The following is a 12461-nucleotide window of genomic DNA, read 5'->3' as shown; positions in this document are numbered from 1 at the left end:
AATGGACATGGTTTTTTGTTTTTTGGTTTTTTTTTTGAGACAAGGTCTCGCTCTGTCACCCAGGCTGGAGTGCAGTGGCACAATCACTGTTCACTGCAGCCTCCACCTCCCAGGCTCAAGTGATCCTCCTGCCTCAGCCTCCCAAGTAGCTGGGACTACAGGCATGTGCCACCATACCTGGCTATTTTTTGCATTACTATTACTTTTTTTTTTTTTTTTTTTGCCGAGTTTCCCTCTTGTTGCCCAGGCTGGAGTGCAATGGCGCGATCTCAGCTCACCGCAACCTCCGCCTCCTGGGTTCAAGCGATTCTCCTGCCTCAGCCTCCCGAGTAGCTGGGATTACAGGCATGTGCCACCACACCCAGCTAATTTTATATTTTTAGTAGAGACGGGATTTCTCCATGTTGGTCAGGCTGATCTCAAACTCCCGACCTCAGGTGATCTACCTACCTCTGCCTCCCAAAGTGCTGGGACTACAGGTGTGAGCCACCACACCTGGCCTTTTTTGCATTTTTTGTAGAGAGTTTCACCATGTTGCCAAGGCTAGTCTCGAACTCCTGGGCTTAAGCAATCTGCCCGTCTTGGCCTCCAAAAGTGCTGGGATTACAGGCGTGAGCCACCATGCCCAGTGTAAGCATAGATTCTTGATGAACAAGGAATATGTTACCAAATAAAGCCTCACACAGAAAAGTCATATTTATAGGAGACATCTTGTAGAGGAGTGGTGGACAGAGCAACTCTGTATTATGAACAACAATGCAGGGCTGAGCTTTGATAACTGGGAGAAATACAGGCTGAAAAAGCTCACTAGGGCACATCACATATTGTCTAATAGGTGAGGAACATAATCCTCACCTCTCCTCCATCTGAACTTCCTGAAATGAGCTTATCCCTAGTATATTTAGTTTATTTAAGCAAAACTCATAATTGTAAAAATGAATTAAAATAATCTATATAATTATATTGGCAGAAATAAATGATAGAAAAATGACAAATAATGGACATTAAATAGAAAAATATTGTCATGGAACAGATGGAAATTGTGATATAGTAGATGAAAATTGATTCCAAATAGATAAAACTGAATTACAAAAGCCCAACAAAACTATTTTCTCCACAGTAAAAAAGCACACATAGAGATCAAGTGCTCAGGAAAGATGCCCAGGCAACCAAAGAAATGAAAGCCCAGGAGAGAAACTGAGAAAATAATCCTAGAAATAAAGGTCAAATAGGAAGTAACACAAAGGAGAATAAACACTGAAAAACGTAATAAAGCATATGGAGGATCTGGAGGAGAAAAGCAAAAATAAATAAATGAGAATAAATATTTTAAAAGATTAGAGAGAATATGTTTTAAATATGGAAGACAAAGAAGATTCAATACACATAGCCTTCATCTCACTAGAAATAAGAGGAGGAGAGTATAGGAAAAGTTATTTAAAGATATAACTAAAGAAAACTGCCCTAGAATTAAAAGAACACTTCAATCAACCAATTTTTTTTTCTTTTTTTGGGGAGACGGAGTCTTGCTCTGTTGCCCAGGCTGGAGTGCAGTGGTGCGATCTTGGCTCACCACAAGCTCCACCTCCCGGGTCCATGCCATTCTCCTGCCTCAGCCTCCTGAGTTGCTGGGACTACAGGCGCCCGCCACCACGCCTGGCTAATTTTTTTTTGTATTTTTAGTAGAGATGGAGTTTCACCGTGTTAGCCAGGATGGTCTTGATCTCCTGACCTCGTGATCCGCCCTCCTTGGCCTCCCAAAGTGCTGGAATTACAGGCGTGAGCCACCGCACCTGGCTAGAGATATTCTTAAAGTGTGTATAAGCACTTATCCCGCTTGTCCAAAGTGAGACTGCCAAGCCTGAGAAACAATGAACTCAAGGTTGCATTGTCTGAGACCCGTTGGCCACTACCTGCTATGGAGAACTGATAGGTAACCTTGCTTGACTTTGTCCTTTGCAGGAAACCAGAGCTGATATCAATCATGGAAGCCTTGTTTCCTTCTAACTCCCGGATCCATACCATGCCTTGGTTTTTCTGACTGGAACCTTTATTGTTTAAAAGGCAGAAAGAAACAACTATGAGAAATATTCAGAGATCCTCAAATGTTAGGTGTGTTAGAGATAGAGAGGAGGGTATCTGGCCTTTTATCCAGTTATTCCTTCTTTCTTTAAATAAGCCTCAGAAAGAGAGAGAAAAAGGTTGGTACAAAACCAGCCATGGTCTAATATAAGGGTTGATAAACTTCATCTGTAAAGTACTAGACAGTAAATATTTTAGGCTTTGAGGGCCATACAATCCCTGTCATAAGTACTCAACTCTGCCATTGAAGTGTGAAAAACAGTCATAAACAGTATGTAAACAAGCAGATGTGACTGCATTCCAAATACAACTTTATTTACAGAAAGAGGGAGCAGGCTAGATGTGGCTTATGGGTCACAGTTTATCAGCCCTTGGTGTAAGAGAATGTGGGGAGAACTGGCAATAAGAAAACCTTTGGATGACTAATTTTTAGGCATTCTTTAATTCTTAACTAGGGAATGAATGCATGAAGGGGACTATTTACTCAAATGAGGTTGGTGATTCTGCCTCAGCGTTGTGGCCCTATCAAGAACACAGTCCAGTGCATGTTAGAGGAGGAATACCTTTTCCCACTCCTATTTTCTACAGTGAAAAATTTCCCCATAATACAAGGGAGGTGGAATCATTAATTTGATTGATAAATTTAAGATAACTGAGCATGCTCAACTCAACTCTGCTCTACTTCTTCTTGGGAGGAAGTTGCTTGTAGAACCAAACATTCTCTGCTGTGCCCTCATGCCTACACAGTACTCCGGTATAAGGAGACTTGATCCCATCTAGCATTATCTGGTTCTAGGTAAGAAAGTTTGCCTAATTTGAGATTTAATACAGACAAGCTAACTTGTTCAGCAAGCTTAAAGCCTTGTTCTCCAACAGGGCTTCTAACACTAATAAGTATAATATTTTGGCCTCCATAATTTCTCTTCAAACTATATAATTTGGTATGGAAGAAAGGACATTGATTGAGTGCCAACTCCAAGTCCCCAACACACAAAACAAAAATTTAATTTAATGCTTTCATTTGAGAGAGACCAATGAAATCCTATAAGTCAGGCTGAAGATTACCCAAGATACAGAGATGAATCAGAGGTGAATTGAATCTTCTTAAAACTGCAGCCTAGGACCGGGCATGCTGGCTCACGCCTGCAATCCCAGCACTCTGGGAGGCCAAGGCTCTACTAAAAATACAAAAAATTAGCTGGGCGTGGTGGCAGGCACCTGTAGTCCCAGCTACTCAGGAGGCTGAGGCACGTGAATGGCACAAACCTGGGAGGTGGAGCTTGCAGTGAGTCAAGATTGTGCCACTGCACTCCACCCTGGGCAACAGAGTGAGACTCTGTCTCAAAAAACACAAACAAACAAACAAACAAAAACTGCAGCCTAGCCCTGATCCACTTTAATTTCTAACTAGATTGAAGTGATTAGTGCTTCACCCTGTGTACTTCACATAGGAAAAAATGAAGCCCTCTCTGTTGGAAAATAATATCATCTGGAGGCTCTACACTTCTTTTATGTACAATGCCTAATATATAATTAAAAAACAGTTAACTTTTCAATGAGACAAGACCATATAGCCAATAATAAATAAAAATATAAACAGACAATAGAAGCAGACCAACAGACAATCCAGATATTGGAATAAGCAGACTAGAACTTTAAAATAACTAAATACTGTGTAAAAGTAAGTGGAGGAAAAGGTGGACAAAATGGATGAAAAAATGGAGAATTTAAATAAAAACTTCAACCTATAGATCTAAATCTATAAAAGAAACATAGACTGAAAAATACAATGATGAAAATTAGGAATTTATGGGAAGAATTTAACAGAAGACTAGACATAGCTAAAGACAGAAATGGCAAATGTGAGGAAAGGTTAATAGAAAATTATTCAAACTGACACTCAGAAAAAAGTAAGAAAACTTGCTATAAGAGACTTATGAGTCACAGCAAAAGGTCTCACAAATGTAAAATTGGAGTCCTGTATGGAAAGGAGAAAGAAAACGGGGCAGAAGCAATATTTGAAGAGATGATGTCTGAGAAGGAAGAATGTTAAACTACAGATTCAAGAGGTTTTGCAAAATCTAGGCAAAATTAAAAAAAAATCACCAATGTTATATCCAGACTACTGAAAACTGAAGACAGACAGAAAATCTTAAAAGCTGTTAGAGTAAAAAAACACATCTGTAAGAAGCTACAATTAGACTGACAGCTGATTTTTCAACAAAACTATGGAAGCCATAAAATCATGGAAGAGCATCTTTAGAGTGCTAAAAGAAAACGAAACTGACAACATAGAATTCCATACCTAGTGAAAATATCCTTCAAAAATGAAGGCAAAATTAAATCATTTTCAGACAAACAAAAACTGGGAGAATTTGTTGCCATCCAATGTGTACTCAATGAAATACCACAGGAACTTCTGGAAATTGAAGTAAAATGATCACTGAAAGAAATATGTTACTAAAAGAAGCACCAGACAGCACCAAAAAGAGTAATGTGGGAAAATATAAAGGACTATTTCCATATAAATTAGCAATAATAACACTGTCCTATGTGTTCTGTAACACATGCAGGAGTATAATACGTGACAACAGTATCACAAAGCTAAGGAAGGAGTGAAAGAGTTAAGCCGTTGTTAGATTCTTGCATTGTTTGTAAGTGGTAAAAGGACCAATTCAAAGTAGACTATATAAGTTATTAGGTCACACTGTGATCTCTCTTACTGAAAAAATATGTAAGAATATCTAATATAAAAGCTAATAGGAAAAATTGAATAATACAATAGAAGTGGCAATGGTGGTTATTTTGTGAAGGGAATTGATCAGGAAGGCAGCACAAGGCAGTCTACTGATATGCTGGAAAAGTTTTCTATTTTGATCTGACTGGTGGTTATGCAGGTGTATTTAAATTACGTATGTTATATTATAAATACATATAACTTATAAATAATATAAACATAAATCATACATAAGAATATAAATCATATATACAAATATGTCACATCATATATGATTTAGTTTCTTGTAATATATAACTTATTATATATAATAAAATAATGTTTAGTGATATAAAATTTAAAATTCATTACAAATAAATATGTAAACTATATAAATATATGATATATAAAATATTTAACAAATATATAAACATAATAATATGTAATAGATCTAATATATGTTTATATATAAATTCATTATGTTTTACCCCTAAAGTTTGTGTATTTTATTATATAGAGATTAAACTTCAATAAAAAACAAAAAAAAGAAAAACCAGAGAAATATTATATTCATAAAATGAAAATAGAATGCTTAAAATAGAATGGATTAGAAAAAAAGAAGGAACTCTTGAAAACTGAAAATATGGTGACTATAAATACAAATAAATACACATGATAGCAGAAATTTAAAAATAGTAAAAGGACTGAAGGATTACATTTAATATATCTATCTGAATGTAGAGCAAAAGGAAGATGATCATAGTGAGAAAAAAAGTAACACACTCAGAAGTTCAATATAGAAACTCGATATCTGACTGACAAGAGTCCTGGAAAGATAGACCAGAGAAGATGGAAAGAAGAAAATTATTGAATAATTTCATAAATTTTCCCAGAGTTGAAGAACATGTCCCTCTAAATGAAAAATTCCAAGCAATGTCCAGTTCACTGAATGGAAAACACCAACATCAAAGAACATCATGGTGTAATTTCAGGACATCAGATAGAAGAAAATATCCCAAGAATTTTTAGAGAGAAAAAGTAGGTGACATGCAAAGAGTCAGGAATTGAAATGGAATTCAACTTCTCAACACAACGCTGATAGCCGTAAGATAGGGAAGCAAGGAAGCATGGAACCCAAGAGCCAGAGGGGATCCAACATAGGAGCAATGCAATGGGAATTCCCAGGGCAGGGGTGGAGGAAAGTCCCAGTTAGGAATTATGGAGCAAACCTGGTGAGCATGCACTCCAGACCACAGCAGGTGGTTAGAGAGCTCCACACCAGGTGTTCTCAGGAAAAAAAAAAAAAGGAACTGGAAGAGATTTTAGGGGAAAAAATGGCCTTGGGTGAAGTTTAACCAAGCTGTTTTCTTCAGGTGAGGAAATACTTAACAATGGATTATAAAAGCAAAGCAACTGAAGAAACAAAGCAATGATTAAATTCAGTAAAAAAATAGCAGGTGTCATAATAAAGGAACTGTAATCATTATATGCTTTTTTGTTAATCAGTACATGATCCTGTATCATTTAGTAATAATAATGAAAATATTGAATATGGATCTCAACACAAAATTTGATAGAATAATTCTGAGACCATGTGGTGAAAAGACATGGGGTGTAAAAAGAGTTAAAAACATCACCTACTATCAGAGAAAATTATTAGAACTATCTAAAGTTATAGACTCAAGAAATAGCAGTATCTGTATTTATTTTTTAATTTGGAGTTAAATACTAGAACAAGCAACTAGATACATTACAAGTAGGCGAGGCACAGTGGCTCATACCTGTAATCCCAGCACTTTGGGAGGCAAGGCAGGCAGATCACCTGAGGTCAGGAGTTCAAGACCAGCCTGGCCAACATGGAGAAACCCCATCTCTATTAAAAAATACAAAAATTAGCCAAGCGTGGTGGTGTGTGCTTGTAATCCCAGTTACTCAGGAGGCCGAGACAGGAGAATTGTGTGAACCCAGGAGGCAGAGATTGCAGTGAGCTGAGATTGCACTACTGCACTCCAGCCTGGGCAACAGAATGAGACTCTGTCTCAAAAATAAAATAAAAATAAAATATAAAAGCAGATATCCCAGGGAACAGAAAAGGATAGGGTGGAGACCATATTTTTTGTAAAGAGTCTTTTTGCATTAGACTTTTTTTTCCTATTAGCTTGAAATTTTTCACATCTATGTAACAGTTAAATAGTACAAGAAATACCAATATACCTTTAACCTGGATTCCACATAAGCTTTATCTCTCCTCCTTTTTTTCTGGACCATTTGAAGTGAGTTAAAAAACATCACAATGCTTCATTCGGAAATATTCCAGATGCTGTCTCTTGAGAACAAGGACATTTTCCTCCATGCCCAGAATATCATCTTCACATCTAAGGAAATTCACAATAATCTCCCATGATCATTGGATATCCAATCCACAATCGAATTTCCTCAGTAGTCCCCAAAATATCTTTTATATATCTTTTTTCATCCAGGATCTAATTAAGTTTCACACTTTGCATTTGGTTGTTTTGTCTTTTTGGACTTTTAAAATATGGAATAGTCCCTGTCCCATCAGGCCTTTTTGCTTCTCATGACACTGACTTTTTTGAAGACAGCAGTCTAGTTGTCTCAGAATGGCTCACATGCTAAGATGTTTCTTCATGATTAGATTCTGGTTCCTAGTGGAACTGTTCCTATATGCATATGTTACTTTCTTTTTGTTTGTTTGTTTTATTTTATTTATTTATTTATTTATTTTTGAGATCTCACTCTGTCACCCAGACTAGAGTGCAGTGGCGCAATCTCTACTCATTGCATTCTCTGTCTTCTGGGCTCAAGCAATCCTCCTGCCTCAGCCTCCCAAGTAGCTGGGACCACAGCTGCATGTCACCATACTTGGCCAATGTTTGAATTTTTATTTTTTATGGAGATGGGATACCGCTATGTTGCCAGGACTGAGCTTGAGCTCCTGGGCTCAAGCGATCCTCCTGTCTTGGCCTCCCAAAGTGTGGGGATTATAGGCATGAGCCACTACACCCAGCCATATATTACTTTAATAAATAAAATTAGGCCAGGTGTGATGGCTCCTGCCTGTTATCTGGCATTTTGGGAGGCCAGGGTGAGCAGATTGCTGGAGCCCAGGAGTTCAAGACCAACTTGGGCAATATAGTGAGACTCTATCTCTACAAAACAATACAAAAATTAGCTGGGCATGGTGTTGTGCACCTTTAGTCTCAGCTACTCAAAAGCTGAGGTGAGAGGACTGCTTGAGCCCAACAGGTCGAGGCTGCAGTGAGCCACAATCGTGCTACTGCACTCCAGCCTGGGCAAGAGAGCGAGACCCTGTCTCAAAAAAAAAAAAATTAAATGGAAAAATGAAGATAGCATTTGTTTACGTTTATTAAAAAGAGGACTCCTTCTCTTTCAGGTCACTTGTGCCTGGAGTTTGATACTTCCTACATTAACTGGGTCAGCACGCACTTACAAACTCATTCTCTAACCCAAGTCACTCCAGGAAGCAGCTGAAACATCTTTTCTCAGAGAGGCATACATTTTCACATCTTTTCATTTTAAGTTTGTTCCCAGTGGGGATTTTTTCCCACTTCTACCCAAGAAATCCTGTTACTGAAAATTCTCGCATCAGTTATCTCAACCACAAATGGAAGTTGTTTCTGCACAAATCCCTAGGCAGCTGAGTAGATTTGATTCTCTTGTGTATAAGATCCAACGATAGAGCACTGCAGAGACCTGGGCTCTGTGCCTGGATCTACCACTGATACCTCGAGTTACCTTGAGCAAGCCCTCTGCCTTTCTGGGTTCCTGTGGTCTTACCTGTGAAAAGAGGCAGCTAGATCTAGCTACCAATGAAAGCGACCTTTCAAACTATAATTTTGAAGCAAGCAGAAACGAAAGTTTAAGTTTAAAGGCAGACGGCCACATGCACCACTGGTGGACGTCCCTCTTGACCTTCCTACCAGCAGGCACGGCCACTTTTGTACAAAATAAGTCAATCCTTGGCTGTGAATGGGAGACGAAGAGATGGGTTGGAGGATGGCGAGGAGAAAAGCAAATAATGGACCATAAATGGTGCCAACACGAGTGGTAAGTTTGATGAAAGGAATCTCTACCTCCTATATGTGACAGTAAACTGTGGCATTAAAATAACCTGAGTGGCCAGGCGCGGTGGCTCACGCCAGCACTTTGGGAGGCCGAGGCGGATGGATCACTTGAGGTCAGGAATTCAAGACAAGCTTGGCCAACACGGTGAAACCCCGTCTCTACTAAAAATACAAAAATTAGCTGGGTGTGGTGGCGGGCACCTGTAATCCCACTTACTCGGGAGGCTGAGGCAGGATAATCACTTGAATCTGGGAGGCAGAGGTTGCAGTGAGCGGAGATCGCATCACTGCACTCCAGCCTGGGCGACAGAGCGAGACTCCGTCTCAAACAAACAAACAAACAAACAAATAAAAAACCTGAGAAAAAGTGTAATGTTAAAAGCAAAAGAAACTTCAAAGTATTCTTATAACCTGGTGGTAGGTACCCAACACATTTAATAAATTTAATTGAAACTCCAGATTCAAGACTATTGCTGATAGCAAATTACCTTTATTGCTAGCGTTATTTCCGTAAAATTATGGCCAACACTTTGTAAATTCTCTCAAAGCATGATAGAAAAAAGGAGGAAAGAGAGAGAAAGAGCTTTGGATTCAGTATCAGGAGACCTATGGCTTACAACCCACAACACAGTTAAATGGCTCTTCAACTTTGGGCATACCTCATAGCCCATCTAGGTCTCCATTTTCTCATCTGTGAAAAAGATGGGGAGGCTGGGCATGGTGGCTCACGCCTGTAATCTCAGCACTTTGGGAGGCCGAGGAGAGTGGATCACCTGAGGCCAGGAGTTCGAGACCAGCCCAGCCATAATGGGGAAACCCTGTCTCTACTAAAAATACAAAAATTAGCTGGGTGCGGTGGCGTGCGCCTGTAATCCTAGCTACTCTGGAGGCTGCGGCAGAAGAATCACTTGAACCTGGGAGGCGGAGGTTGCAGTGAGCTGAGATTGCGCCACTGCACTCCAGCCTAGGCAACAGAGTGAGACAATGTCTCAAAATAAAAAAAAAAAGAAAAGAAAAAGAAATAAAGAAATAAAGAAAAAGATGGGGATGCGGGAATGGCAGATTGAGTTGTCTCTAAAATTCTTTTTTTAATTTTTTTTTTAGACGGAGTCTCGCACTGTTGCCCAGGCTGGAGTGCAGTGGCACAATCTCAGCTCACTGCAAGCTCCGCCTCCTGGGTTGCCCCCGGAGTAGCTAGGACTACAGGCACCCGCCACCACACCTGGCTAATTTTTTTGTATTTTGAGTAGAGATGGGGTTTCACCATGTTAGCCAGGATGGTCTCGATCTCCTAACCTCATGATCCGCCCGCCTCGGCCTCCCAAAGTGCTGGGATTACAGGCGTGAGCCACCATGCCTGGCCTGAATTTTTTATTTTATTTGTTTATTTATTTATTTATTTGACACAGGGTCTCACTCTGATGCCTAGGCTGAAGTATAGTGGTGCGATCATGACCCAACGCAGCCTTGACCTCCCCAGCTCAAGCGGATCCCCCCACCTCAGCCTCCCAAGTAGCTGGGTGATATGGTTTGGCTGTGTCCCCACCTACATCTTATCTTGATTTGTAGTTCCCAAAATCTCCACGTGTCACAGGAGGGACCTGGTGAGAGGTAATTGAATCATGGGGGCGGTTATCCCCATGCTGCTGTTCTCATGGTAGTGAGTGAGTTCTCGCGAGATCTGATGGTTTCATAAGGCGCTTTCCCCCCTTTTGCTCTGCACTTCTCCTTCCTGTCATCATGTGGAGAAGCACATGTTTGCTTCCCCTTCCACCACAATTGTAAGTTTCCTGAGGCCTCCCCAGCCATGTGGAACCATGAGTCAATTAAACCTCTTTCCTTTATAAATTACCCAGTCTCAGACAGCCCTTTATAGCAGTGTGAGAACAGACTAATACACTAGGACTACAGGCGTGCACCACCACGCCCAGCTAATTTCAAAATGTTTTGTAGAGATGGGGCCTCACTATGTTGCCTAGGCTGATCTCCTGGGCTCAAGTGATCCTCCCATCTCAGCCTCCCAACGTGTTGGGATTACAGGCATGAGCCACTGCGCCCAGCCCTAAAATTCTTCACTACTCAAAAAACTGTGAGCCAGTTTCTGTAAATTTGAGGGAAGAAAGAGAATATTTTTGCATCATTTGTACCACTGTCATATCAAATAACTTGTTGGATACCTACTTAATGCTATTTCCCCGTCTTCCTTTACTTACAGGATCTGCTCCCTAATTGCTTTTCCTCTTTTAAATGGGTATTTTTAAAAATACGGCTTTTTTTTTCTTGGCTTATAGCCATGGCTTCTTGTCCCATAGTGTTCAGAGCCCGGGAACAATTATCTGGCTTAATTTATGGTTGCCCTGAAGGTAATAACATAAATTGCTCATGATTCAGTTTTACTTGTACTTCCGCTTGCTAAGATCTCCCCCTGTAAAACATTCTTGAATGATAACATAACCATCAGCAGTCCTTTACATTTACATGACATTTTCCACTAGAGTATCTTTCGCATCTATTATATCAGTGATCTATACAGGTTTTGGTAAAGAGTAAGAAAAAGTAAATGACCTCAGTAGTGTGGAGGGGCCCTTTAAAACAGTTTTCTCATTCATTCCTAGATTCTAAAACCTTTTCCAAATCCTCAGAGCCATTACAGCTTGGGCAGAACAGAAAAGGAAGGAACTCAACGAAGTACAGCATCTTTTCAGGCAGAGAGTTCAATGCGCGTCAATCAGATGACCACTGCTGCCTGGTCAGACCTGCTGGGTTTGAGGGTGGAGGGGGTGGGAGAGAAAGAGTGGGAGGAGGAGGGAGAGAGAGAGAAGGAGGTTGTGCCAGTACCTCCAGGCTTAAAAAATCTAAAGAGACACCTCAATCAATCACAATGAATGGGAACTTTTTTGGATCCTGATTCGAACAACTTGTTTAAAAAATTACAGGACAATCGGGGAAATGGAGCACTGACTGGATTTTGGTGATATTCAAGAATAATTGTTATAGTAAGGTCCTTTCTTTCTTTCTTTCTTTTTTTTTTTTTGACAGAGTCTTCCTTTGTCACTCAGACTGGAGAGCAGTGTTGCAATCACGGCTCACTGCAGCCTCAATCTCCTGGGCTCAAGCCATCCTCCAGCCTCAGTCTCTCCAGTAGCTGGGACTACAGGCGCAGCCACAATGCCAGGCTAATTTTTGTATTTTTTGTAGAGACTGGGTCTCTCTGTGTTGCCCAGGCTGGTCTCAAACTCCTGGGCTCAGGTGATCCTTCCTCCAGGGTCTCCCAAAGGGCTGAGATTATGGGTGTGAGCCGCCACGTCCAGCCTGTATTCTTTTTTTTTTTTTTTTTGAGATGGAGTTTCGCTCTTGTTGCCCAGGCTGGAGTACAATGGAGCAATCTTGGCTCACTGCAACCTCCACCTCCCAGGTTCAAGCGATTCTCCTGCCTCAGCCTCCCAAGTAGCTGGGATTATAGGTGCCTACCACCACACCCAGCTAATTTTTGTATTTTTACTAGAGACGGGGTTTCACCATGTTGGACCAGACTGGTCTCCAACTCCTGTCCTCAG

The 12461-nt window shown here is 40.4% G+C and overlaps 1 long non-coding RNA gene across 1 annotated transcript; it reads left to right on the top strand.

The window, feature by feature from the left end:
• Window positions 1–8844: 8844 nt before the first annotated feature.
• Window positions 8845–11654, top strand: LOC124905019 (uncharacterized). The gene is made up of 2 exons (XR_007067861.1): window positions 8845–8887; window positions 11520–11654. It is a non-coding gene; the product is annotated as an uncharacterized LOC124905019 (long non-coding RNA).
• Window positions 11655–12461: the final 807 nt, after the last annotated feature.

The sequence above is a fragment of the Homo sapiens genome, chromosome 21, assembly GCF_000001405.40.
Source record: "Homo sapiens chromosome 21, GRCh38.p14 Primary Assembly".
Classification (NCBI taxonomy): Eukaryota; Metazoa; Chordata; class Mammalia; order Primates; family Hominidae; genus Homo; species Homo sapiens.
The sequence above is the reverse complement of the archived record's forward strand: the minus strand, read 5'-3'. Positions and strand labels throughout refer to the sequence as shown.